Source organism: Homo sapiens, chromosome 19 (genome assembly GCF_000001405.40).
Source record: "Homo sapiens chromosome 19, GRCh38.p14 Primary Assembly".
NCBI classification, from domain to species: domain Eukaryota; kingdom Metazoa; phylum Chordata; class Mammalia; order Primates; family Hominidae; genus Homo; species Homo sapiens.
In genome coordinates, this window is record NC_000019.10 from 1,904,858 (window position 1) to 1,927,964 (window position 23,107).

At 59.7% G+C, this 23,107-nt stretch overlaps 2 protein-coding genes across 5 annotated transcripts, besides 4 other annotated features; both read left to right on the forward strand.

Moving 5' to 3' along the window:
• Positions 266 to 595: a silencer, noted in NCBI's record as "silent region_9753". NCBI's record gives its function as "represses an Ori minimal core promoter by ATAC-STARR-seq in GM12878 lymphoblastoid cells {active_cell/tissue: GM12878}" and the evidence as "EXISTENCE:reporter gene assay evidence [ECO:0000049][PMID:35858748]".
• ADAT3 (adenosine deaminase tRNA specific 3) lies at positions 542 to 8,590 on the forward strand. 2 transcript variants are annotated; one of them, NM_138422.4, is made up of 2 exons: positions 542 to 582; positions 7,033 to 8,590. In NM_138422.4, exon 2 carries the CDS (start codon positions 7,191 to 7,193, stop codon positions 8,292 to 8,294), a length of 1,104 nt encoding a protein of 367 aa, NP_612431.2. In that variant the 5' UTR covers positions 542 to 582; positions 7,033 to 7,190; the 3' UTR covers positions 8,295 to 8,590. The 2 variants fall into 2 exon arrangements, with proteins under 2 accessions (NP_612431.2, NP_001316462.1); NM_001329533.2 differs by having other exon boundaries at positions 7,224 to 8,590.
• SCAMP4 (secretory carrier membrane protein 4) lies at positions 542 to 21,156 on the forward strand. Of its 3 annotated transcripts, NM_079834.4 has the most exons (7): positions 542 to 582; positions 10,122 to 10,169; positions 12,837 to 12,965; positions 13,270 to 13,426; positions 14,032 to 14,133; positions 18,213 to 18,330; positions 19,251 to 21,156. In NM_079834.4, the coding sequence occupies exons 2-7, from the start codon at positions 10,163 to 10,165 to the stop codon at positions 19,425 to 19,427; spliced, it is 690 nt and encodes a 229-aa protein (NP_524558.1). In that variant the 5' UTR covers positions 542 to 582; positions 10,122 to 10,162; the 3' UTR covers positions 19,428 to 21,156. The 3 variants fall into 3 exon arrangements, with proteins under 3 accessions (NP_524558.1, NP_001316469.1, NP_001316468.1); NM_001329540.2 differs by lacking the exon at positions 14,032 to 14,133; NM_001329539.2 differs by lacking the exon at positions 10,122 to 10,169.
• Positions 646 to 795: a silencer, noted in NCBI's record as "silent region_9754". NCBI's record gives its function as "represses an Ori minimal core promoter by ATAC-STARR-seq in GM12878 lymphoblastoid cells {active_cell/tissue: GM12878}" and the evidence as "EXISTENCE:reporter gene assay evidence [ECO:0000049][PMID:35858748]".
• Positions 956 to 1,045: an enhancer, noted in NCBI's record as "active region_13635". NCBI's record gives its function as "activates an Ori minimal core promoter by ATAC-STARR-seq in GM12878 lymphoblastoid cells {active_cell/tissue: GM12878}" and the evidence as "EXISTENCE:reporter gene assay evidence [ECO:0000049][PMID:35858748]".
• Positions 3,121 to 3,932: an enhancer, noted in NCBI's record as "H3K27ac-H3K4me1 hESC enhancer chr19:1907977-1908788 (GRCh37/hg19 assembly coordinates)". NCBI's record gives its function as "activates a minimal SCP1, AML or CMV promoter by ChIP-STARR-seq in naive H9 embryonic stem cells {active_cell/tissue: H9 hESC(naive)}" and the evidence as "EXISTENCE:reporter gene assay evidence [ECO:0000049][PMID:30033119]".
• Positions 21,157 to 23,107: the final 1,951 nt, after the last annotated feature.

Consider the following 23,107-nt stretch of genomic DNA (forward strand, 5'->3'; position numbering starts at 1 on the left):
TCCAGCCTGGGTGACAGACTGAGGCTACGTCTCAAAAAAAAAAAAAAAAATGTGCTTGTTTGGCCCAGGAGAGGCAAGAGGTCTTCTTCACCTACGTTACTGGTGAGAAAACTCAAACCTGAGGGCGGCCCACGCCGGAGTGCAGTAACAGGCAGAACTGGAACCTGGCCCCATCCCGGACTCAGGGGACGGGTGTCATATACCCCCTCTGCCTCATCCTTCCCACTCTGCTAACCTTCCAAAGATCCCCCGGGTTCCGAGTTTTCCCTGGCCGCTTGATGGGATTCGAACCTGCAAACTCAGCGCTCGCCCAGCGCAGCGGCCCCGCCTCTCCTCCCCTCCCGCCGCCCGGAGGTCATGTGAGCGCAGTGCCGGAGCGGGGCGGGGCGAGGCGGCGGCGCGCAGTGCCTACTAGCAATTGTAGTCCTTGCCCCACCTTGGCCTGGCGAAGATCCCGCCCCTGGAACTACGCTCCCGTCGTGCTCCGCGGCTCCAGGCGGAGACGAGGCGGGGTGAGGTGGGTTGGGCCGGGCCGGTTGCTAAGACTTGGCGAAGCGCTGCGCTCGCGCCCGGATCCCTCAGGTAAGCGCGCGGCCCCGAGGTCTCGGGTTCTCCAGGCTCAGACTTCCCCAGAGGGGGAGTAGGGGCTGACATGGGGGGTCTCGGCGGTGAGGGGCGCCGGCCGTTTGTGGGGAGAAAACGGGGGGCCCAGGCCAGCCTCGCGCGCGTCTCGGGCGGGCCGGTGGGCGACGCGGGGAGGCGGCGCGAATGCGCGTGCGCGCGCGCGCGCGGCGCTGGCCTGGGGGAAGCCTCAGGACCGCGCTCCCCCGGGCCTAGCGCCTTTCTGCGCGTGTGCGCCCTTATGGTCGGTGCGGGAGACCCCGTATCCTCCAGCTGCTTCCGGTGGCCCTTCCTCAGGTCATGTCCCGCAGTCCCCTGCCTCTGAACCGCGCTCTCGCGAGTTTCCGTAGCCTTCGCGTCCTTCCTCCCCAGCTCTGATTCGCCTTTATGTGGAGATTCCCCTAGGCCTTGGTACATCCCCAGAATTGACCATCGTTCCTCATCGTTACCTAGAGTATGAGTTTTTCAGGTTTTTGTATCACAGGCCCCCAGTTATCTCCCACACACTACCCCGAGGACCGAGGTTCCCCGCTGTCTTGCAGAGAAGGCCTCCTTGTAGGGTGGCCAGAAACAGAGGATCGACTCCGTGGAAACAAGGACGGCTGGGTGCAGTTCCTCACCCTATAACCCCAGCACTTTGGGAGGCCAAGGCGAGTGGATCACCTGAGGTCCGGAGTTCGAGACCAGCCTGTCTAACATGGTGAAACTCCATCTCTGCCAAAAATACAAAAATTAGCTGGGCGTGGTGTCACGCGCCTGTAAAACCAGCTACTGGGGAGGCCAAGGCAGGAGAATCGCTTGGACTTGGGAGGTGGAGGTTGCAGTGAGCCAAGATGGCACCATTGTACTCCAGGCTGAGCAAGCTAGCAAGACTCACTCTCCAAAAAAAAGAAAAAAAGATTTTTTTTTAATAAGCCAGGCATGGTGACACATGTCTGTGGTCCCAGCTACTTGGGAGGCTGAGGCAGGAGGATTGCTTGAGCCCCGGAGGTTGAGGCTGCAGTGAACTGTGATGGCACTACTGCATTCCAGCCTGGGCAACAGAGCGAGACCCTGTCTCTAAATAAATAAATAAAATACATACGTGTAGCGCCGGCCGTGGTGGCTCACGCCTGTAATCCTAGCACTTTGGGAGGCCAAGGCGGGTGGATCACGAGATCAGGAGATCAAGACCATCCTGGCTAACACGGTGAAACCCTGTCTCTACTAAAAATAAAAAAAAGCCAGGCATGGTGGTGGACGCCTGTGGTCCCGGCTACTCCCAAAGGAGGCTGAGGCAGGAAAATGGTGTGAACTCAGGAGGCAGAGCTTGCAGTGAGCCAGGATCGTGCCACTGCACTCCAGCCTGGGCGACAGAGTGAGACTCCGTCTCAAAAAAAAAAAAAAATTGTGTGTGTGTGTGTGTGTGTGTAAAGAAACAAGCCCCAGGCTGGGCGCAGTGGCTCACGCCTGTAATCCCAGCACTTTGGGGGGCCTAGGCAGGTATATCACAAGGTCAGGAGTTCGAGAGCAGCCTGACCAATATGGTGAAATCCCACCTCTACTAAAAATATAAAAAATTAGCCAGGCATAGTGGTGCACATCTGTTGTCCCAGCTGCTTGGGAGGCTAAGGCAGGAGAATTGCTTGAACCAGGGAGGCAGAGGTTGCAGTGAGCCAGGATCGCGCCACTGCCCTCCAGCCTGGGGGACAGAGTGAGACTGTCCCAAAAAAAAAAAAGCCCCCACGCAGACTATTGGTGTGCCCTGGAACTGAGCATTAGCTGTTCCCTCTCCGAGTTCTCTCCCCTACTTCCCCAGCCTTCCAGGCTGGGCTGTGGGTCACTGCCTCCGAGGAGCCCTCCTGGATTCTGCTGAAGATGGTCAGGCCCCTCCATCCCCCCATTTTCTCTTATGTACCTGACAGCCCTGCCTTAAAAAAAAAAAAAAGGTAGAGCAGGAATTCCCATTTCACAGGGGTGGAAGCCGAGGCTTGGAGGAGTCAGGACTGGTGCCTGAGTTCTCGCAGTCAGGAATTGACCGCGCTGGGCTGAACGCCTCTAGGGCAGGTTGGGGACTGGGTGTGTTTTCTGGGTGGACATACCCAGGTCCCGGCGCGGACCTTGGCCTCCTCATCTGTGGGCTTAGATAAAGGCCTCCCAGCCTCCTGTTCACCAGGGTTGTCACCACGCAGGGTCTGACTCACCTGCCTGGAGCTATGCCGGTTCCCAGCCCAGGCTGGCGGCCGTGTTCTGCTGGGACCTGGGACCTGGGCTGCCTGCCCTCCTGAGGGGTCCCAGTGGTCGGTCGCCTGCCTTCTGGGTGGGTGTGGTAGAGGGAGGGTCAGGTGGCCCCCTGCTGTTGGGGGGCAGTCGCTGTGGGAGTGAGTCGTCCCCCCGGGCCATAGCAGGTAGGTAGGAGGTGCTCTGGCAGTTGAGGCCGCCCTGGCCTGGGACAGTCAATCAGCCTGAACACTGTGCCTGTTCCGGGATTTTGACCTGCCCTCCAAGGGCGCGGCGGGCCCAGCCTGCAGTGTCCCGGCAGCTGCCTCCTCTCTGGGTCGTTTGTTTTTCATCAGACAGAGGTTGTACTCTTGGAGGGACAAGCGAGGCTGTGTTTGTCTTTTACCCTGGAGACAGTGGAGTGTTTGTGGCCTAGCAGGGCCGTGCGGGCCTCTCGGTCCTGGTCGCGCGTGGTGTGCGTTTTGGGAGGGCCCAGCGAGTCGGCTGCTATGGGCCCCACCTGGCACGGGGCCTCGGGCAGCGGCAGCACCTGGCGCTGCCTCCGCGCTTCCTGCTCCCGGCTCCCACTGCATCTCCGGTTCTGTGCTTTGTTGAACGCGTGAGCTTCGGGCAGCGCTGGGGCCGCTTCAGCGTGACCTCCAAGGCCACTGGCCTGGAGTTCCACTGGCTGCTGGTCCCCCATCTGTGGGGCGCCCCGGCGGCTGAGGCGTGGACCAGGCAGTGCATGTCGAGGAGTAGCACCCACAGCTGCGCGGCTGCGAAATGATCCAGAGACACATCCCTGTCTGCGGGAGGAGCCGTCCATACCAGCGGGGATGTGTAGTCCAGGCTGGCAGTTCAGGATCACCCGGCTGGAGTCATTTTAAGATCATCTGCGGCTTAGCCCCAGCACCATCTGAGGCAGTACTGTCTGCTAGAAATAACTGTGAGCACACAGGTAGTAAGGTTTTTAGGATTTTATTATTATTTATTTATTTGAAAAAAGGAACAGGGTCTCTCTATCTTGCCCACGTTGGTCTCAAACTCCTGTGCTTAAGTGATCCTCTCGCCTTGGTCTCCTGAGTAGCTGGGACTACATGTGCACACCACCGTGCCCAACTAATTTATACTTTTAAGCAATGTGGGCTGGGCACGGTGGCTCACACCTGTAATCCCAGCACTTTGGGAGGCTGAGGCAGGTGGATCACCTGAGGTCAGGAGTTCCAAGACCAGCCTGGCCAACATGGTGGAACCCCGTCTCTACTGAAAATACAAAAATTAGCCGGGCGTGGTGGCATGTGCCTGTATTCCCAGCTACTAGGGGGGCTGAGGCAGGAGAATCGCTTGAACCTGGGAAGTGGAGGTTGCAGTGAGCTGAGATCATGCCACTGCACTCCAGCCTGGGCAACAGAGTGAGACTCTGTCTGAAAAAAAAAAAAATGTGGGCTGGGCATGGTGGCTTACGCCTGTAATCCAACCTCAGGCCTGCGGTGCGAGTCTGTGGGGGCAGATGCAGGTGGGGGAAGGCTGGCCAGCTGAGACTGTGGTTTGGGGGTGTTCAGGTGGGGTGGATGCCAGAGATGTGGGAGCCAGAGGCGCTGTCCCCCAGGGCCCTGTGAGCAGTCCCTGCAGGCTGGCTGTCCCCACGCCTGCCTCTCTGCTGTGCTGTCTGCCCGCCTAGGGCAGGCTCCCTTCTAATGGGCGGATCCCGAGAGCTGGGGGCCCCACCAGCCCTTCCTCTCCAGTGGAGTGGCCCTACTGCCTCATGTCCACCTGTGCCAGCAGCAGGGATGGTAATGGCTCTACTATCTCCTGTCCTCACCTGTGCCAGCAGCAGGGATGGTAACGGCTTTACTGCCTCCCGTCCTCACCTGTGCCAGTGGCTGGGATGTCTTCACCTGTGCCAGCAGCAGGGATGTCCTCACCTGTGCCAGCGGCAGGGATGGTAACAGTGCTGGTGATGTCAGGCCGGGAGGTTCTCACCCGAGAGCCGCCTTGGCACACTGCCCGGCAGTCAGGGATGTTAGCAGGAGCCCCGGGAGTGATCCCAGCTCTTCCCGCAGCCCCACTCCAGCCAGGGCCTCCTCTGTGACTGAGTAAGCAGGGACACCCCAGTGGCTGCCTGCTCCACCCGACAGCCAGGGCCCACCACAGCTGCAGGAATGTGGTCAAGGGATGGGAAGTCGGGCCCACCAGGGGAGGGGCTGCGCTCCGGGGCTTACGTTTCGTGGCTTGTCTTCTGAGGTCTCTCTTTTCCTAGCCCTTGGCCGACTAGGGGGCGAGTGTTTACAGAAACCACTGGAGGTGGGTGTTCCGTGTCAGTGCCAGGCTGTGTGCTGTTCTGGGAGGGGGCCCCGTGTCCCCCACACTTGGCATGCTTGCTTTCTGTCACTGCATAGCAGACTCCGTGCATCTGTGGGCTTAATACAACACCCGCCAGCTCCCGGTTCTGTGGGTCGGGGCCTGAATGTGACATGGCTGGCTCCTCTCTGCGGGGTCTCACCGGGCTGGAACCCAGGTGTCAGCCAGGGCTGTGTTGTCATCTGGAGGCTCAACGGGGGTGGCATCTGCTTGCAACTCACGCAGGCGTTGGCGGAATTCAGCAGCTTGCGGCCGGGGGACCAAGGGTCCTGCTCAGTTCCTGGCCACATGGCCCTTCTGTCTGGAAGCCAGGCGCCGCCTGTCCCCGCTTCTGCTTCCAGGCTCTGGCTTCTGGAGATGCAGAGATCACATCAGTGGTTGCCTGGGTTGCTGTGTGTGTTGTAGGGTGGTGAGACAAGTTTTCTCTTAGGGGTGATGGAATGTTCTGGAATTTTATAGTGGTGATGGTTGCACAACTCCAAGTGTCCTAAGAGCCACTGAATAGGACACTTGATAGTTTTTGGTTTTTGAGGTGTCTTTTTTTTTTTTTTTTTTTTGAGACAGAGTCTCGCTCTGTCACCAGGCTGGAGTGCAGTGGCACGATCTCGGCTCACTGCAACCTCTGCCTCCCAGGTTCAAGCAATTCTCTTGCCTCAGCTTCCTGAGTAGCTGGGATTACAGGTGCGTGGCACCATGCCCAGCTAATTTTTGTATTTTTAGTAGAGATGGGGTTTCACCATGTTGGTCAGGCTGGTCTCGATCTCGTGGCCTCATGATCTGCCCGCCTCAGCCTCCCAAAGTGCTGGGATTACAGGCTTAAGCCACCACGCCTGGCTTTTTTGTTGTTTTTTGACAGTCTCGCGCTGTTACCAGGCTGGAGTGCAGTGGCGCGATCTCGGCTCAATGTAACCTGCGCCTCCCAGGTTCAACCTTCTGGGTTCTCCTGCAAGCCTCAGCCTCCCTAGTAGCTGGGACTACAGGTGCGTGCCACCAGGCCTGGCCAATTCTTTGTATTTTTAGTAGAGACGGGGTTTCACCGTGTTAGCCAGGATGGTCTTGATCTCCTGACCTTGTGATCCGCCTGCCTCGGCCTCCCAAAGTGCTAGGATTACAGGCGTGAGCCACCGTGCCCGGGTTTTCATTTTTTTTTTGAGATGGCATCTTGCTCTGTCAGCCAGGCTGGGGTACAGTGGCACGATTGTAGCTCACTGCAGCCTTGAATTTCCGGCCTCAAGTGCTCCTCCTGTTTCAGCTTCTCGAGTAGCTGAAACCACCGGTGTGTGCCACCACGCCCAGCTAATTTTTTGATATTTAGTAGAAATGGGGTGTTGTTATGTTGCCTAGGCTGGTCTTAAACTCCTGGGCTCAAGTGATCCCCCCACCTCGGCCTCCCATAGTGCTGGGATTACAGGCGTGAGCCGCTGGTACCTAGCCATGAATTGTGCTTTTGAAAATGACCTGTCTTGGCTGGGCGCAGTGACTCACACCTGTAATCCCACCACCAGGTTGAAGCGGGTGGATCACGTGAGGTTAGGAGTTCGAGACCAGCCTGAACGACGTGGTGAAATCCCATCTCTACTAAAAATACACAAAAATTAGTCGGGCGTGGTGGCGCATGCCTGTAATCCCAGTTACTCTGGAGGCTGAGGCATGAGAATAGCTTGAACCCGGGAGGCGGAGGTTGCAGTGAGCTGAGATCATGCCACTGTACTCCAGCCTGGGCGACAGCGAGACTCCGTCTCAGAAGTAAAAAAATAAAATAAAAAAAAAAGAAAATGATCTGTCTTCTGGTAGGTGAATTATATCTTCGTTTTTAAAAACCAATGGCTGTTTAAACTCTGTGCACACCAGGGGTTAGCAGGACATGAGGGAGTGTAGCTCTGATGCGGTGACCTGGGCCGGAGCCCTCGGACTAGCCTCAGCTTTGGTGGCAGCACGCCCTGCCTTGTGGAGCCACGGCCTCCCGGGACGGACTCCCCGGCTCTCCCCCAGCCGCCCGCAGCCGCCGGATGATCCTCTGCTCCCGTCTCTGTCTCCCACAGTCGGCCTCGCTGAGGATGGAGCCCGCCCCGGGCCTCGTGGAGCAGCCCAAGTGCTTGGAGGCCGGGAGCCCGGAGCCTGAGCCGGCGCCGTGGCAGGCCCTCCCTGTCCTGTCCGAGAAGCAGTCAGGGGACGTGGAGCTGGTGCTGGCCTACGCCGCGCCCGTCCTGGACAAGCGCCAGACCTCACGCCTCCTGAAGGAGGTGTCGGCCCTGCACCCGCTCCCCGCCCAGCCTCACCTCAAGCGGGTGCGGCCCAGCCGCGATGCCGGCAGCCCCCACGCCCTGGAGATGCTGCTTTGCCTGGCTGGGCCGGCCTCGGGCCCGCGCTCGCTGGCTGAGCTCCTGCCACGGCCGGCTGTGGACCCCCGCGGCCTGGGGCAACCCTTCCTGGTGCCCGTGCCCGCCCGGCCGCCTCTGACCAGGGGCCAGTTCGAGGAGGCCCGGGCCCACTGGCCCACGTCCTTCCACGAGGACAAGCAGGTGACCAGCGCCCTGGCTGGGCGGCTCTTCTCCACGCAGGAGCGCGCCGCCATGCAGAGCCACATGGAGCGGGCGGTGTGGGCGGCCCGGCGGGCAGCAGCGCGGGGCTTGCGGGCCGTGGGGGCCGTGGTAGTGGACCCGGCCTCGGACCGCGTGCTGGCCACCGGCCACGACTGCAGCTGCGCGGACAACCCCCTCCTGCACGCCGTCATGGTGTGCGTGGACCTCGTGGCGCGCGGCCAGGGCCGCGGCACCTACGACTTCAGACCCTTCCCCGCCTGCTCCTTCGCCCCGGCCGCTGCCCCCCAGGCCGTCCGCGCAGGCGCCGTGCGTAAACTGGACGCAGACGAGGACGGCCTCCCCTACCTGTGCACTGGCTACGACCTGTACGTGACCCGCGAGCCCTGCGCCATGTGCGCCATGGCCCTGGTGCACGCACGCATCCTGCGCGTCTTCTACGGTGCGCCCTCGCCCGACGGCGCCCTGGGCACCCGCTTCCGCATCCACGCACGGCCCGACCTCAACCACCGCTTCCAGGTGTTCCGCGGGGTGCTGGAGGAGCAGTGCCGCTGGCTGGACCCCGACACGTAGGCGCCGCCCTCCTGCCTCCGGACCCTTCCCGCTCCCGGCCGTGGGGCGCCCCTCCTGGACTTCCGGGCCTCGATTTCTTCCGCACAAGCCTGACCGTGGATTTCAGGGACACATACCGCCTCCAGCGGGGAGCACGGGTGCTGCCTTCCGTGCGGATCGAGCTTTCCTGGACTCGGTCATTGGGGCCACCCCGTGCCAGCGGTGCCCTTCTGCGGCCGCCCTTGCTGCGTTTGTGTCCCCTCTGTCTCGCGGGCCGGGAAACTGCTCTGATGGGAAAATAAACAGCCCAAAACCAAGTGGGTGTCTGTTAGGAGGTGTGTGCCTTTGTGGCCAGGGTCCCGAGTGGGGTGGGGTCTGTACAGGGCCTGGTGGCTCAGCCGGAGGGGACCTGCTGAGCCACGTGTGGTCAGAGACCTGGGCTGATTCTGGGGTAGAGCAAGGCCCCCAGCTGCTGCCTCCTTTCCCGCTTCTGGAGTCCTGATGGTTCCAGGCGTGCCTGGCCCAAGTGTGTGGACACTAGGCGTAGTCCACAGGGCACCGACCCTAAGGAAGGGCCCTGGGATTTCGTGTCCTTCACAAGTGGCAACAGGGGACCCCAAAGGGCTGATGCTAGTCGGTCACAGCACAGTGAGGACTAGAGCCGTTTTTGCAGAACTTGGAGCAGGACCTGTGGGTCCACCCGGCAAGTGTCCATTGCCTGACCATGTGGGTGCAGCTTTGCCTCCAGACACGCCTGCTGTGAGCCCCCAGCCCATAGGGGAGGGGATCCGGCAGGTGGGGGCTCTGCGTGGGGAGCTCATGCAGTGGACAGAACACCACTGCTGGCCAGGAGCCCGCCAGGCCTGCAGTGGGGGAGTCCGTGCCTGGGGGTGGGACTGAGGTGGGCTGGAGGGTCCCGGATGGGGCCAGAGCCACAGCGTGGAGTGAGGAGGTGGGAGCCGCAGAGGCGTGCCCAGTTGAGTGGTAGAGGCAGCATTTGGGCCTCCTTCATGCTCAGGTGCTCAGCTCCTTCCCCTGAGGGGCAGGAAGTCAGGGAGGAGGGAGTGAGAGGTGGGAGGTGGCAGGCGGGCGGAGGGGAAGATGTCCTGTCCCAAGAGCCAGGGGTGCCCCACCCCACGGTGACATGTTCCTGAACGGGTTGTGAGTGGAGGGCTCAGTTCCTGGGAACTGCCTCACCTGGACTGTGGGCGGGAGGCAGCTCCTGGCCCCGTGCCCGCCCCCTCGGGCCTGTTCCCCTGCCAGGATCTGGGATGGTTCACACCCCACTGGTCTGTGATGCCCAGTGGGCAGCAGGCATGCCCCTGCTGGGCTGGCCCACCTCCCGATGGCAGGTCCGCCCCCAGGATCACGGAAGCAGCTAGATCCACTCAGTCGTGGGTGGATGTCAGGCCAGGTGGGGCTGCTCTGGTGGGTGAGCTCATGGGGTTCCCTTTCAGAACGGCCAGGGTGCCATGCGGATGCGATGGGGTCTTAGGCCCTGCAGCGTTCACCTTGTGGCGCCCACCCCTTGTGGGCTGAAGCCGGGATTTGGGGGACGCAGGGGCCTAGGACAGCGGGGAAGGGGCATCCTGGCTGGGGCGGTGGGTGGGAGGGGCTGCGGCCAGCCCTGCCCGTTTTGCCAGCATGGGTGGTGTGCACTGGAGCCGAGGGGAGGGGGACCTGTGGGGTAACACATTGGGTCGAGTCAGGCCTGTGGCTCCCGCTTAGCCCACTGCTGTTTCCAGAGCACAGGGCACGATGAAGGGCTTTTCAGCCACGGTGGGTGGGTGGTTAGCGCTCTGCCCAGGGCAGCTCAGGGTTCCCTGACTGTGGTTGTCTTCCTTCCAGGCGGCTGCAGGCTTCAGCCTGCGCTGGTTGGTGAAACAGAGATGTCAGGTGAGTCCTGCCTGCCTGGGAGCCTCCAGCAGCGTGGGCGGGAGGGAGATGCCAGCAGTTCCCACAGGAGCCCTCGGTCCTGGCCGTTGGCAAACAGTGTCCTCCTGGCCCACCTGGCCTCTGACTCCTCGGGTCCCGTAGCCCAGCACAGCTGGAGTCACGCCTCTGCTGGGGGCAAAGGACAGCAGAGCCGCCTGTGTATCCGCTCGGACGCCTCACTGACCCGAAGCACAGCCCAGCCGGGTGCCCCTGCCATCACAGCTGCTCTTTCCTTATAGCAGCGGGCGTGTTCTCATGTGCCCCGGGGTCCCTCACCCACTCATTTACTGGCAGCCTTCCCCAGTGGGGCGTAAGCCCCTGAGGACAGGGCCTCTTGCTGTCTGACTCCCCATCTGGCCCTCGCAGGCGCCCAGGGACACTTCCTCAGGCAGTGCTGGCTGAGCAGAAGCTCCTGGGGGGCTCCCAGTGCCACGCTGAGTGCCCCAAAGGCTGTGTTCCCATCTTGATCCCTGGAACCTGTGAGTGGGACCTCATTTGGGAATATGGCCTTAACTCCGGACGTGATGGAGTTAAGATAAAGTACTGGAGCAGGGCGAGCTCTCATCCCAGTGCCTGCTGTGTTTATAAGAAGAGATGGAGGCCGGGCACGGTGGCTCACGCCTGTAATCCCAGCACTTTGGGAGGCCGAGGCGGGTGGATCACGAGGTCAGGAGATCGAGACCATCCTGGCTAACACGGTGAAACCCCGTCTCTACTAAAAATACAAAAAATTAGCTGGGCGTGGTGGCGGGTGCCTGTAGTCCCAGCTACTCGAGAGGCTGAGGCAGGAGAATGGTGTGAACCCGGGAGGCGGAGCTTGCAGTGAGCGAGATCGGGCCACTGCACTCCAGCCTGGGTGACAGAGCGAGACTGTCTCAGAAAAAAAAAAAAGAGATGGTCCGGGCGTGGTGGCTCACGCCTGTAATCCCAGCACTTTTGGGAGGCCGAGGTGGGCAGATGATGAGGTCAGGAGTTTGAGACCAGCCTGGACAGCATAGTGAAACCCCATCCCTACTAAAAATATTAGCTGGGCATGGTGGCACAGCACCTGTAGTCCCAGCTACTTGGGAGGCTGAGGCAGGAGAATCGCTTGAACCTGGGAGGCGGAGTTGTGGTGAGCCGAGATCACGCCACTGCACTCCAGCCTGGGTGACAGAGTGAGACTGGATCTCAAAAAAAAAAAAAAGACATGGAGATACAGGAGGAGTCGTCGTGGAGATGGAGGCAGAGGCCAGAGCTATGCGGCCATGAGCCAAGGGCGCTGGGATCCCCCAGAAGCTGCTTGAGAGAGGCAGGAAGGCTCCTTCCCCGGAGCCTGCAGAGGGAGCGCGTTCCTGAGACACCTTGATCTCAGATTTCTGGCCTCCAGGACTGTTAGCAGATAAATATTTGTTGTGTTCTTTGTTTTGTTTTGAGACAGGGTCTGGGTCTCTCCCAGGCTGGAGTGCAGTGGTGTGATCATAGCTCACTGCAGCTTTAACTTCCTGGGTTCAAGCGATCCTCCTGCCTCAGCCTCCCGAGAAGCTGGGACCACAGGCACGCACCACCACGCTTGGCTAATTTTTGTAGTTTTTGTAGAGTTGGGGTCTCGCTAGGTTGCCAGGCTGATCTGGAACTCCTGGGCTCCAGCAGCCCTCCTGCCTCAGCCTCCAAAAGTGCTGAGATCACAGGTGGGAGCCCCCACACCTGGGCAGTTTCTGTTGTTCTAAGCCTCCCAGTCGGTGGTGGTTTCTCACAGCAGCCATGGGGAACGGAAGCGTCCCCAGGCCACAGCCTCCCCGCAGTGTGCGGACTCGGCCTGCTGAGCCTGCATGTTGGCGTCCCTGCCTGCCGGAGGGAATGATACTAAATGCAGCCTGCTGCAGCCGCACCCACACTAAACATGGAGGAGGGCTACGAAGAGTAGCAGGGCCCTGCATGAAGGGTGACACGTAAATTTAAAAAACAATTTCGGCCGGGCGCGGTGGCTCACGCCTGTTATCCCAGCACTTTGGGAGGCAGAGGTGGGCGGATTATTTGAGGTCAGGAGTTCAAAACCAGCCTGGCCAACATGGTGAAACCTCGTGTCTACTAAAAAGAAAAATCCAAAAATTAGCCGGGTGTGGTGGTGGGCGCCTGTAATCCCAGCTACTTGGGAGGCTGAGGCAGAAGAATCACTTGAGCTTGGGAGGCAGAGGCTGCAGTGAGCCGAGATCGCACCACTGCCCTCTAGCCTGGGAGACAGCGCGAGACTCCGTCTCAAAAAAAGAGTCATAAACTTAGTTCCTTAAAACAGTGAAATCAGTTATCTGACAGTTCTGGAGACCAGAAACGCTAACATCAAGCTGTAGGCCGGTTCCCGCCTTGCCCAGCGTCTAGAGGCGCCCCCATCCCTCCACTCAGGGCCCCTTTCTCCCCCTTCACAGCCTCAGCGCAGCCTCTTCCCGTTTCTCTCTGACTCCCACCCTCCCGTCTCCTCTCGTGAGGCTGCCACGAGGACCCTCTCCTGTCTCAGCGTCCTGCCCTCAATCCCAACTGCAGAGTCCCTTCTGCCATGAGAGGCAACCCAGCCTTGGGTCGAAGGGATGAGGTGGGGCCTCCTTCAAGAGACAAAGTCTGGTTCTGTCCGTGGGTTCTCTGTCCCTACAGAAAAGGAGAACAACTTCCCGCCACTGCCCAAGTTCATCCCTGTGAAGCCCTGCTTCTACCAGAACTTCTCCGACGAGATCCCAGTGGAGCACCAGGTCCTGGTGAAGAGGATCTACCGGCTGTGGATGTGTGAGTGCGCCTGGGGGCAGGAGGCGGGAAGCGGGAGGCAGGGCTCCCCGAGGGAGGGAGTGGCATTCAGGCAGGGGCAGCCCGTCGGGGGCCCACCGTCTACTGAAGCCGTCCTGGGCCTGGTGGTCCCTGCGGTGAACGAGGCTGGTGTCCAGGCCCCAGTGTCTTGGCTTGCACAGTTCATCCTCGACATGGGGTCACTGGGCTGGGGAGGCGGACAGCGGGTGCCCCATTGCTGGGCCCATGCTTTCCCACGGCCACACCCTCCCGTGCCTGCTCATCCGTCCTCCCTCTCTCTTCGCAGTTTACTGCGCCACCCTCGGCGTCAACCTCATTGCCTGCCTGGCCTGGTGGATCGGCGGAGGCTCGGGGACCAACTTCGGCCTGGCCTTCGTGTGGCTGCTCCTGTTCACGCCTTGCGGCTACGTGTGCTGGTTCCGGCCTGTCTACAAGGCCTTCCGGTGAGCAGAGCTGCCGGGGGCCGTCTGCACCCAGAGGGAACCAGGGCCCACTCTGCACCCCAGTCCCAGCCCAGCTGTGAGGAGCTGTCCCTTTCTCTGCCCAGTGTGAAAGACAGTTCACATCTGGGGGTGGCAAACTGTGGCCCACAAGCCAGAGCCAACTACTGTCTGTTTTGTTTTGCTTTCTAGTAATTTTGGCTGGGTGCAGTGGCTCAGGCCTATAATCCCAGCACTTTGGGAGGCCGAGGCAGGCGGATCACCTGAGGTCAGGAGTTCAAGACCAGCCTGGCCAACATGGTGAAACGCTGTCTCTACTATAGGTACAAAAATTAGCCAGGCGTGGTTGCGGGCGCCTATAATCCCAGCTACTCAGGAGGCTGAGGCAAGAGAATCGCTTGAACCCGGGAGGCAGAGGTTGCAGTGAGCCGAGATCTCGACACTGCTCTCCAGCCTGGGCGACAGAGTGAGACTCCATCTCAAAAAAAAAAAAAAAGGAATAAAATAGAGCCTCCGCTCTCACCATCTCTGACTGGCCCGTTCCTCTCTAGGCGCGTCTGGGAGAAGCCAGGGCTGTGGTAACCGTCGTGTTTTCTGTCCCTCCCCAGAGCCGACAGCTCCTTTAATTTCATGGCGTTTTTCTTCATCTTCGGAGCCCAGTTTGTCCTGACCGTCATCCAGGCGATTGGCTTCTCCGGCTGGGGCGCGTGGTAAGCCTCTCTCTGATGGGCGTGGTGGCTGTGATGTGGCTCAGCTGCCAGGTTGTGGGCCTGCTGGGAAGCCAGGCGGCCACCGGAGCGTGCTGGTCCGGGATTGTACGCGCTCTCCTAGGGAGGGGTCTGAGCTCACCCTGGCAGCGCCCGCGTCCTCGCCAGCGCCCGCGTCCTCGCCAGCACCCAGCCATGGTTCGCGATTGTAGGCACTCTCCTAGGGAGGGGTCCGAGCTCGCCCTGGCAGTGCCTGCGTCCTCGCCAGCGCCCAGCCAGGCTTGTCTCCTGAGTGTTGATCACACCCCTGACCCGGGGTCTGGGAGCCAGTTCCTGGCTGCTGATGTTTCTGCACGGATCGCTGCAGGAGGAAGACCTGTACATCTGTAAAAACACACATACCTGGTGCTGTTACCACACCTGAGAAACTCACAGTCACTCTCTAAGGCTGCCAGGTGCCCAGAAGTGTTTGTGTTGGTGTCTTAAATTTCTGCCTTTTTTCTTTTCTTTTTTTTTTTTTTTTTTTTGAGACAGAGTCTTGCTCTGTCACCCAGGCTGGGGCGCAGTGGTGCAATCTCAGCTCACTGCAACCTCCACATCCTGGGTTCAAGCAATTCTCCTGCCTCAGCCTCCCGAGTAGCTGGGACTACAGGCGCCCGCCACCACGCCTGGCTAATTTCTTTTGTATTTTAGTAGAGACGGGGTTTCACCGTGTTGCCCAGGCTGGTATCGAACTCCCGAGCTCAGGCAATCCGCCTTTCTCAGCCTCCCAAAGTGCTAGGATTACAGGTGTGAGCCACTGCACCCGGCCCTTTTTTTAAACTATTATTATTTTTTTTTGAGATGGAGTCGCTCTCTGTCACTCAGGCTGGGGTGCAGTGACATGATCTTGGCTCACTGCAACCTTCACCTCCCAGGTTCAAGCGATTCTCCTGCCTCAGCCTCCCGAGTAGCTGGGACTACAGGTGTGTGCCCCCACACCCAGCAAATTTTTGTATTTTTAGTAAGAGACGGGGTTTCACCATGTGTTGGTCAGGCTGGTCTGAAACTCCTAACCTCGTGATCCACCCGCCTCGGCCTCCCAAAGTGCTGGGATTACAGGCGTGAGCCACTGTGCCTGGCCAAATTTGTGGCTTTTTAAATAGGCTTTTTATTTTGGAATAATTTGTAATTCTCAGTTGCAGAGAGTGACTGTTCTCGCCCACGTCCCCGACGTGTCTCCCTTGTCCTTGGCACGGCGGGAGCTCCCCACGGGTGACGCTGCTCACGGAGCCGTGGGTGCCTTTGGTTTCCTGGGCTCCCATTAGCAAGCTCCTGTTCTGGGGTTCCTGCCCCACAAGACTGCGGTACTCTCACGCCAGTGCACAGATCAGAATCCAGATAAGGTCCCAGGTTTCCTGGGATGGTGACTCCTCTCCCTTCAGGGCCCCTCGATCTGCAGGCCTCTCCCCTCCTGCACCTGCGCCTGGCGCCAGGCCCTCCAGGGTGGCTGGGATCTGTGGTTTGTGCACCCCTCGGATGTGCCGCTGAAGCTGGTCTGTCACCTGCCACCCCAAGAGCCTGAGTGACGTTGCCCCAGGGATCTGAGTTAGAGTCATAGTGAGCGTGTGCCTGGGACTCCCAGCTCTGCCAGCCTTTGGGGTGCTTCCCCCTCCTGCAGAGGCTGTGGCTGCAGGTCAAGGCACTGCTCGTCATCCTCCGAGTCCTCCTGAGCTCCCAGCTGCCAGCTCGGCTCCCACTGGCCCTTCCCTGGGCTCCAGTGCCTCCTGTGAGCCGCCTCCCCGGTGCGTCCCCAGCTCTCCCAGGCTGAGCTGGGTGGACAGGCCTGTGCCCGTGTTGGGTGGTCCTGAGATCCCGGCATGAGGTGAGTGCCCACATGTGACCCTCAGAGACCTCCCTGCCCCCTCGGCCCTCGTGCACGTGCGGCAGCAGCGACTTGGCTCTTCTCATTGGAGCCTGGGTCATCTCCCGCAGGTCACGGGAGAAGCTGAGCATGCGGTCCCTGCCCGAGGTGGACAGAAGGTGAACGCTCTTGAGAAAGAAACCCAGCGGGTCTTAGGAGAGCCCGGCCCCCCTTGTAATGAGAGAAATCAAACCACAGCGCACAGCGACTTCATGTCCACCGTTGGCTTAGTGAGGCCCCACGCTCAGTGCGCTGCTGTGGGGCGAGAGGGGACAGCCCCGCTCTCCCTGTCCTGGGCGGCTTCACCAGCGCCACCTCCCCACACACTCTGTGCACTGCTGTGGGGCAAGAGGCGACAGCCCCGCTCTCCCTGCCCCGGGCAGCTTCACCAGCGTCACCTCCCCAGGGGTGACGCATGCCCGAGGCCATGAGCCACGGCAGCATCTGTGGTGGCAGAGGACTGGAAACTCCAGAGAAATGACCCCCAGCGGGGCCTAGCTGTGTAGATGGTGAGGGTGGCCACATGGCGGCAGCCAGGTACTGAGGACACGGTGCAGCAGGGGCCCCCGGTGGGCCCCGCCAGGAATCGGACATCAGCGGGCGCCGCAGCCTCTAAGCGGAGCATGCAGCCCACTGACAGTGTGCTGGGTGCCTCCCTAGACCTGACACTTGCATGCGGGGGCGTGCGATGCTGGCCAGTGGGAAGCTGCGGGGGCGGCGGCAGGAGTCCTCAAATGCCTTTGCCGCTTTTCATAAATCTAAAATTACATCCAAACAGAGGTTTACTTTTTTAAAAAATAAAAGAGGCCAGGCATGGTGGCTGACGCCTGTAATCCCAGCGCTTTGGGAGGCCAAAGCAGGAGAATCACTGCTTGAGGCCAGGAGTTCAGACTGGCCTGGGCAACATAGGGAGAAACCATCTCTCCAGAAAAAAAAAAAGAGGAAGGAATGACCCAAAGACCATGCAGCCTGTGATGCTGTGGAGGCTCCAAGCAGGCGAACACAGGACAGGCCAGCATCTTGCAGGGACGCGGCGGGGGGTACCGCGTGTGCGTGCATATCACGCCCCGTGCATGTGTGTGCATAAGCTCCCCGGACACATCCGGGGGTGTGGGTCCTGCGGGCTGCCTGTGCACCAGGGAGGGGAGTCAGCAGGAGAGAGACTGTACGTCGTGCCTGCCTTTAAGTTCCCTGAATTTTAAACCCTGTGGTTTCATCACCTGTTAAGACAAAAATCTCAAAATGACTGTTTTCTGCCTCCTGGGTCTCAAAGGCAGGTGCAATGCCCAGAGGCTGGTCCTGCACAGAGGGACCCAGGGCGTGCTGGCCTTCCCAGTGTCCCACTGGTGGCTGATCTAAGCAGTGCTTTCCCTCGTTTTTTTATTTTGAGACAGAATCTTGCTCTGTCCCCCAGGCTGGAGAGCAACGGCACGATCTCGGCTCACTGCAGCCTCCCGCTTCAGCCTCCCAGATAGCTGGGATTACAGGCATGCGCCCTCATGCCTGGCTAATTTTTGTATTTTTAGTAGAGACGGGGTTTCACCTTGTTGGTCAGGCTGGTCTCCAGTTCCTGGCCTCAAGTGATCCGCCCGCCTCGGCCTCCCAAAGTGCTGGGACGACAGGCGTAAGCCTCTGCGCCCGGCCTCCTCATTGTTTCTAATGGTCCCTCAGTGCCCACCGGGTGATGGTGGCAGATTTTCCATCCGCATTGCTCCCGGACATGCGGATGTAGGTTTCAGCAGTTCCCATCATTAGACACAGTTGCCGTAGGCTGGGTTCTTAGTAGCAGGCTCAGTGGGGCCTTTGAGTCTTTCCATGGCTGGTGCCCGCCGGACTCACTGAGGGAAACTAATGGGGAAGCACTGGTCTCCATTCCCTGCACGCACAGCCCACTGCTGCGATGGTGAAGGGATAAGGTTGTGTTCACGCGTCGAAGTTTGTGTCCACTGCACACGCGGCTCACTGCTGCGATGGTGGAGGGATAAGGTCGTATTCACGCGTTGAAGTTGGTGCCTCTCAGTATCGCTTTATGTTTGTTGGCCACTTGGTCGTCCTTGTATGAGCTGTCCACTCCTTGTTGATTGGCCAGAGCTCTTTACATGGGGAGGACCATGGGCCGGACCATGGGCCCTCATCCAGCAGGTGTGCAGGCACCCACGCACTCTCTTGTCCCTTGCAGCGGCTGGCTGTCGGCAATTGGATTCTTCCAGTACAGCCCGGGCGCTGCCGTGGTCATGCTGCTTCCAGCCATCATGTTCTCCGTGTCGGCTGCCATGATGGCCATCGCGATCATGAAGGTGAGTCCTCGGCTTTGTGACGTCCAGCCCTTACCCCTTCTCCATGAACCTCGTCACCCAACTGTCCCAGGTGGGTGAACGTCGAGGAGCCGGGCCCTCTCCCCACGGTGTCACGCAGGCCGCACTTCATCCCCAGCAGTGAGCTGGGATGACAGCAGGAGGCACTGTCACCAGGGACACTCCCAGGGACCCAGCGCCTGGGTTCCTATGGGGCCAGTCCTGTGGCCCCCTGGGCCGGGAGTCCAGACTCCAGAGGGAAGCAGGGGTTGTGTGTAAACCGCAGTGTTTGCAGGAACAGCTGAGGCCCTGGAGCTGTCCTGTCAGTGAGGGTGGGGCCCCTTGCAGGTTCCCGGTCACAGTTTCCATCTGAAGATAGCGGAAGTGTTGAGCTGGGCTCATAACAGAAACTTTCAGTTACAGCAAAATGCTTTTTTTTTTTTTTTTTTTTTTAGACAGAGTCTCGCTCTGTCACCCAGGCTGGAGTGTAGTGGTGCGATCTCTGCTCACTGCAAGCTCCGCCTCTGGGGTTCATGCCATTCTCCTGCCTCAGCCTCCCGAGTAGCTGGGACTACAGGCGCCCGCTACCGCACCTGGCTAATTATTTTGTTTTTGTATTTTTGGTAGAGACAGGTTTTCACCGTGTTAGCCAGGATGGTCTCAATCTCCTGACCTCGTGATCCTCCCGCCTCGGCCTCCCGAAGTGCTGGGATGACAGGCGTGAGCCACCGTGCCCGGCCTATTTTTTATATTGTAGTAGAGACAGGGTTTCACCATGTTGTTTGGACTGGTCTCGAACTCCAGAGCTCAGACAGTCTGTCTGCCTCGGCCTCCCGAAGTGCTGGGATGACAGGCGTGAGTCCCCGTGCCCGGCCGCCATGCTCATTTTCTGTCTTCTGCCTCCCTGTCCTCTGTCCTTGCAGGTGCACAGGATCTACCGAGGGGCTGGCGGAAGCTTCCAGAAGGCACAGACGGAGTGGAACACGGGCACTTGGCGGAACCCACCGTCGAGGGAGGCCCAGTACAACAACTTCTCAGGCAACAGCCTGCCCGAGTACCCCACTGTGCCCAGCTACCCGGGCAGTGGCCAGTGGCCTTAGAGGGAGCCTGCCCTGCCCCCACCGCCCACCACCTCCTCCCCTTCATTCCTGCTGCTACCCCTGGTCCCGAGGGCTGGGAGTACCTGGGGCCCCATCCCCCCAGCTGGGATGGTGGAAGCCGGTGGTGGCCACGGACCGCCCCCCTCCTGCCAGGGCCACAGAACCCGTGTTCATCTCATCCGAGAGCGGAGTTCCTCACAAGCACTCCCCAGCAGCCCTTGGCCTCTGCCGTCCACAGGACGCCCTCTTGCTCCCGGAAACGTGTGGTCACCCGCCGTCCACTGCACGGCTGGTACGGCCTTGTCTTCAGGTCTCGAGGCCTGACTCCGGGGGACAGGTGGCAGCAGGTCGGCCGCCCTCCCGTCCTCCCAGAGCTGCTGGCGCTGAGGTCAGAGCGGGTCTGATGGGGAGCTCCGTCTCACCGGCCACCCGCCGTCACCATGGCAGATGCCCTTGGCCGGAACTAATAAGAGGCGTCGGGGCCAGCTTCCGGTCCCCTGCAGTGATAGAGGGCTTGGTGCCTAGCTGAGTCCTCGCTGTCCCCGCCATCCCCTGATCTGTGCGGCTCCAGCCTCGCCCCCTCCCCACGTGCACCATACCTGGGGAGTTCCTGGTCCAGGGTATCCTGGGGCCACCCTCCCTGCCTCCAAAACAGGGATCCCTGGCAGGCTGTCTTTCCACGCCCCTGAGTTCAGAGTCGGGGACCCAGGCCAGGTCGGGAGCACAGCCGCTCCCCAAACCCAGCAAACCGGCAGAGAGCCGGTTTCCCAGCAGCCGGAGCCCTGCAGGAGAGGCCTTTGTGTTTTGTTTTGTTTTGTTTTTTCTCTTTTGAGACAAGAGTTTCACTCTGTCGCCCAGGCTGGAGTGCAGTGGTGTGATCTCGGCTCACTGCAACCTCTGCCTCCCGTGTTCAAGCAGTTCTCCTGCCTCAGCCTCCCAAATAGCTGGGATTACAGTTGCCTGCCACCACGCCCAGCTAATTTTTATATTTTTAGTACAGATGGGGTTTCACCATGTTGGCCAGGCTGGTCTCGAACTCCTGACCTCAAGTGATCCACCCGCCTTGGCCTCCCAAAGTGCTGGGATAATAGGTGTCAGCCACCGCGCCCAGCCTGGAGTGGCCTTTTATGAGAGGGGACCCGTCAAATCTGTGCCTTATGGAGGGGTCCGGCAGCGGCCACAATTGTCTTGTCCCCTCACCCCCCAACTCCCCCTGGAACACCTCTCCCAGGCAAGACATTTTCACAGCACCATTCACAACGGTTGGGCCAAAAAGAAACTTTTCCTTCATCATTTCCTGCACTCGCTGACCACAACTTTGGACACCCCAGGCTGCCACCCCTCCCCACCCGTTCACCCCCAGGATGCTGTTGCTGTAGGACGCCTGCTGCCCTGGAGCCCTCCCCAGGATGTGAGCCAGTCCCCTCGCTGGTACGGAATGCCGCTGGGTGCCCGGAGGCGGCCATGGTGTCTCGATGGACGGCAGCCAGGATGGAGCACCCATGGGTCTCACGGCCATGCTTCAGGGTCTTCAGGTCCTGCCCCCGGCCAGTCTGCCAAGAGGCACCCCCTTCCCCAGCCTCTCGCCTGCACTGATGCAGACAAAATCTCACCTGGCAGGCCCAACCCCCCCCCACCCCTCCCCCGCCGTGTGTGGCCCCTCGCCGCATCGTTGGGGTTTTGTTATGTGAAAATATCCTGGAAATAAATACATGTTTCTGCACTTAGAGCCAGGGACCTGCCGCGTTTGTGCTGTGAGCATGTGTGGTTCCCCCAGGCCGTCTTCTCCCTTGGGAGACCCCTCAGCATATGGCCTCTGGCAGGATGCCCCCCTGCAGCGCCTCCTCCCACCCAGGCCCCGGGTGCCCTGTAGCCAGGTGTGCCCAGGGCTGACCCTGCCATCCTGGCCAACGTGGTGAAACCCGGCCTCTACTAAAAATACAAAAATTAGCCGGGCGCGGTGGCGGGTGCCTGTAGTTCTAGCTACTCAGGAGGCTGAGGCAGGAGAATTGCTTGAACCCGGGAGGCGGAGGTTGCCGTGAACCCAGATCGCGCCACTGCACTCCCCACCGGCTCAAAAAAAAAGGAAACTTGCACAGATGGAAAGCCAGTGTCACTGGCCCTACGTAAAAAGCAAACATCGGCCAGACGCAGTGGCTCACGCCTGTAATCCCAGCACGTTGGGAGGCCGAGGTGGGCGGATCATCTGAGGTCAGGGGTTCAAGACCAGTCTGGCCAACATAGTGAAACTCTGTCTCTACTGAAAACACAAAAAATTAGCTGGGCGTGGTGGCACACGCCTGTAATCCCAGCTACTCGGGAGGCTGAGGCAGGAGAATCGCTTGAACCTGGGAGGCAGAGGTTGCACTAAGCCAAGATTGCACCATTGCACTCCAGCCTGGGTGACAGAGTGAGACTCTGGAGAGAAAAAAAGGGGGGTTGTGGGGTGTGGTGGCTCACACCTGTAATACCAGCACTTTGGGAGGCCGAGGCAGGCAGATCACCCAAGGTCAGGAGTTCAAAACCAGCCTGGCCCACATGGTGAAACCCTGTCTCTACTAGAAATACAAAAATTAGCCAGGTGTGGTGGCAGGTGCCTGTAATCCCAGCTACTTGGGAGGCTGAGGCAGAAGAATCAGTTGAACCTGGGAGGCAGAGGTTGCTGTGAGCCAAGATAACGCCACTGCACTGCCACCTGGGTGACAGAGCAAGATTCTGTCTCAAAAAACAAACCCAGCCGGGCGCGGTGGCTCACGCCTGTAATCCCAGCACTTTGGGAGGCCGAGGCGGGCGGATCACGAGGTCAGGAGATCGAGACCATGCTGGCTAACACGGTGAAACCCCATCTCCACTAAAAATACAAAAAATTCTCCGGGCATGCTGGCGGGCGCCTGTATTCCCAGCTACTCGGGAGGCTGAGGCAGGAGAATGGCATCAACCTGGGCGGGGAGCTTGCAGTGAGCGGAGATCGCTCCATTGCACTCCAGTGTGGGCGACAGAGCGAGACTCTGTCTCAAAAAAAAAAAAAAAAACCAAAAAACAACAAAAGAATAAACTTACTACATGTTAATATTTTTTTTCAAATACTTTGTTTTTTGAGACCGAGTCTCACTCCGTCGCCCACACTGGAGTGCAATGGCGCGATCTCCGCTCACTGCAAGCTCCGCCTCCCGGGTTCACGCCATTCCCCTGCCTCAGCCTCCCGAGTAGCTGGGACTACAGGCGCCCGCCACCACGCCCGGCTAATTTTTTGTATTTTTAATAGAGACGGGGTTTCACTGTGTTAGCCAGGATGGTCTCGATCTCCTGACCTCGTGACCCACCCGCCTCGGCCTCCCAAAGTGCTGGGATTACAGGTGTGAGCCACGGTGCCCGGCCTCAAATACATTTTTTAAACAGGAGGATGGGTGGCATACTTTTTTAAATGTGTGCAAAACTCTTGAACATCTGGCTTCATAGAGGACAAGAGGGATGGCTCAGCAGCTCTGTCGCAAAAGGGTGTTTTACCACAACAAAGATTGAGGGCAAATGGTCTATCTAGGATGTGAGCCCAGGAAGTACCGAAGGGGTGTGGGGATGGGGAGTGGCCCATAGGGAGGCATGAACAGGGAGGTTACAGCTCCAGGCTGCTGGAGCTCAGTCCCTCTGAGGATCTGGCTCAGGTTGTCGTCCGGAGGTGA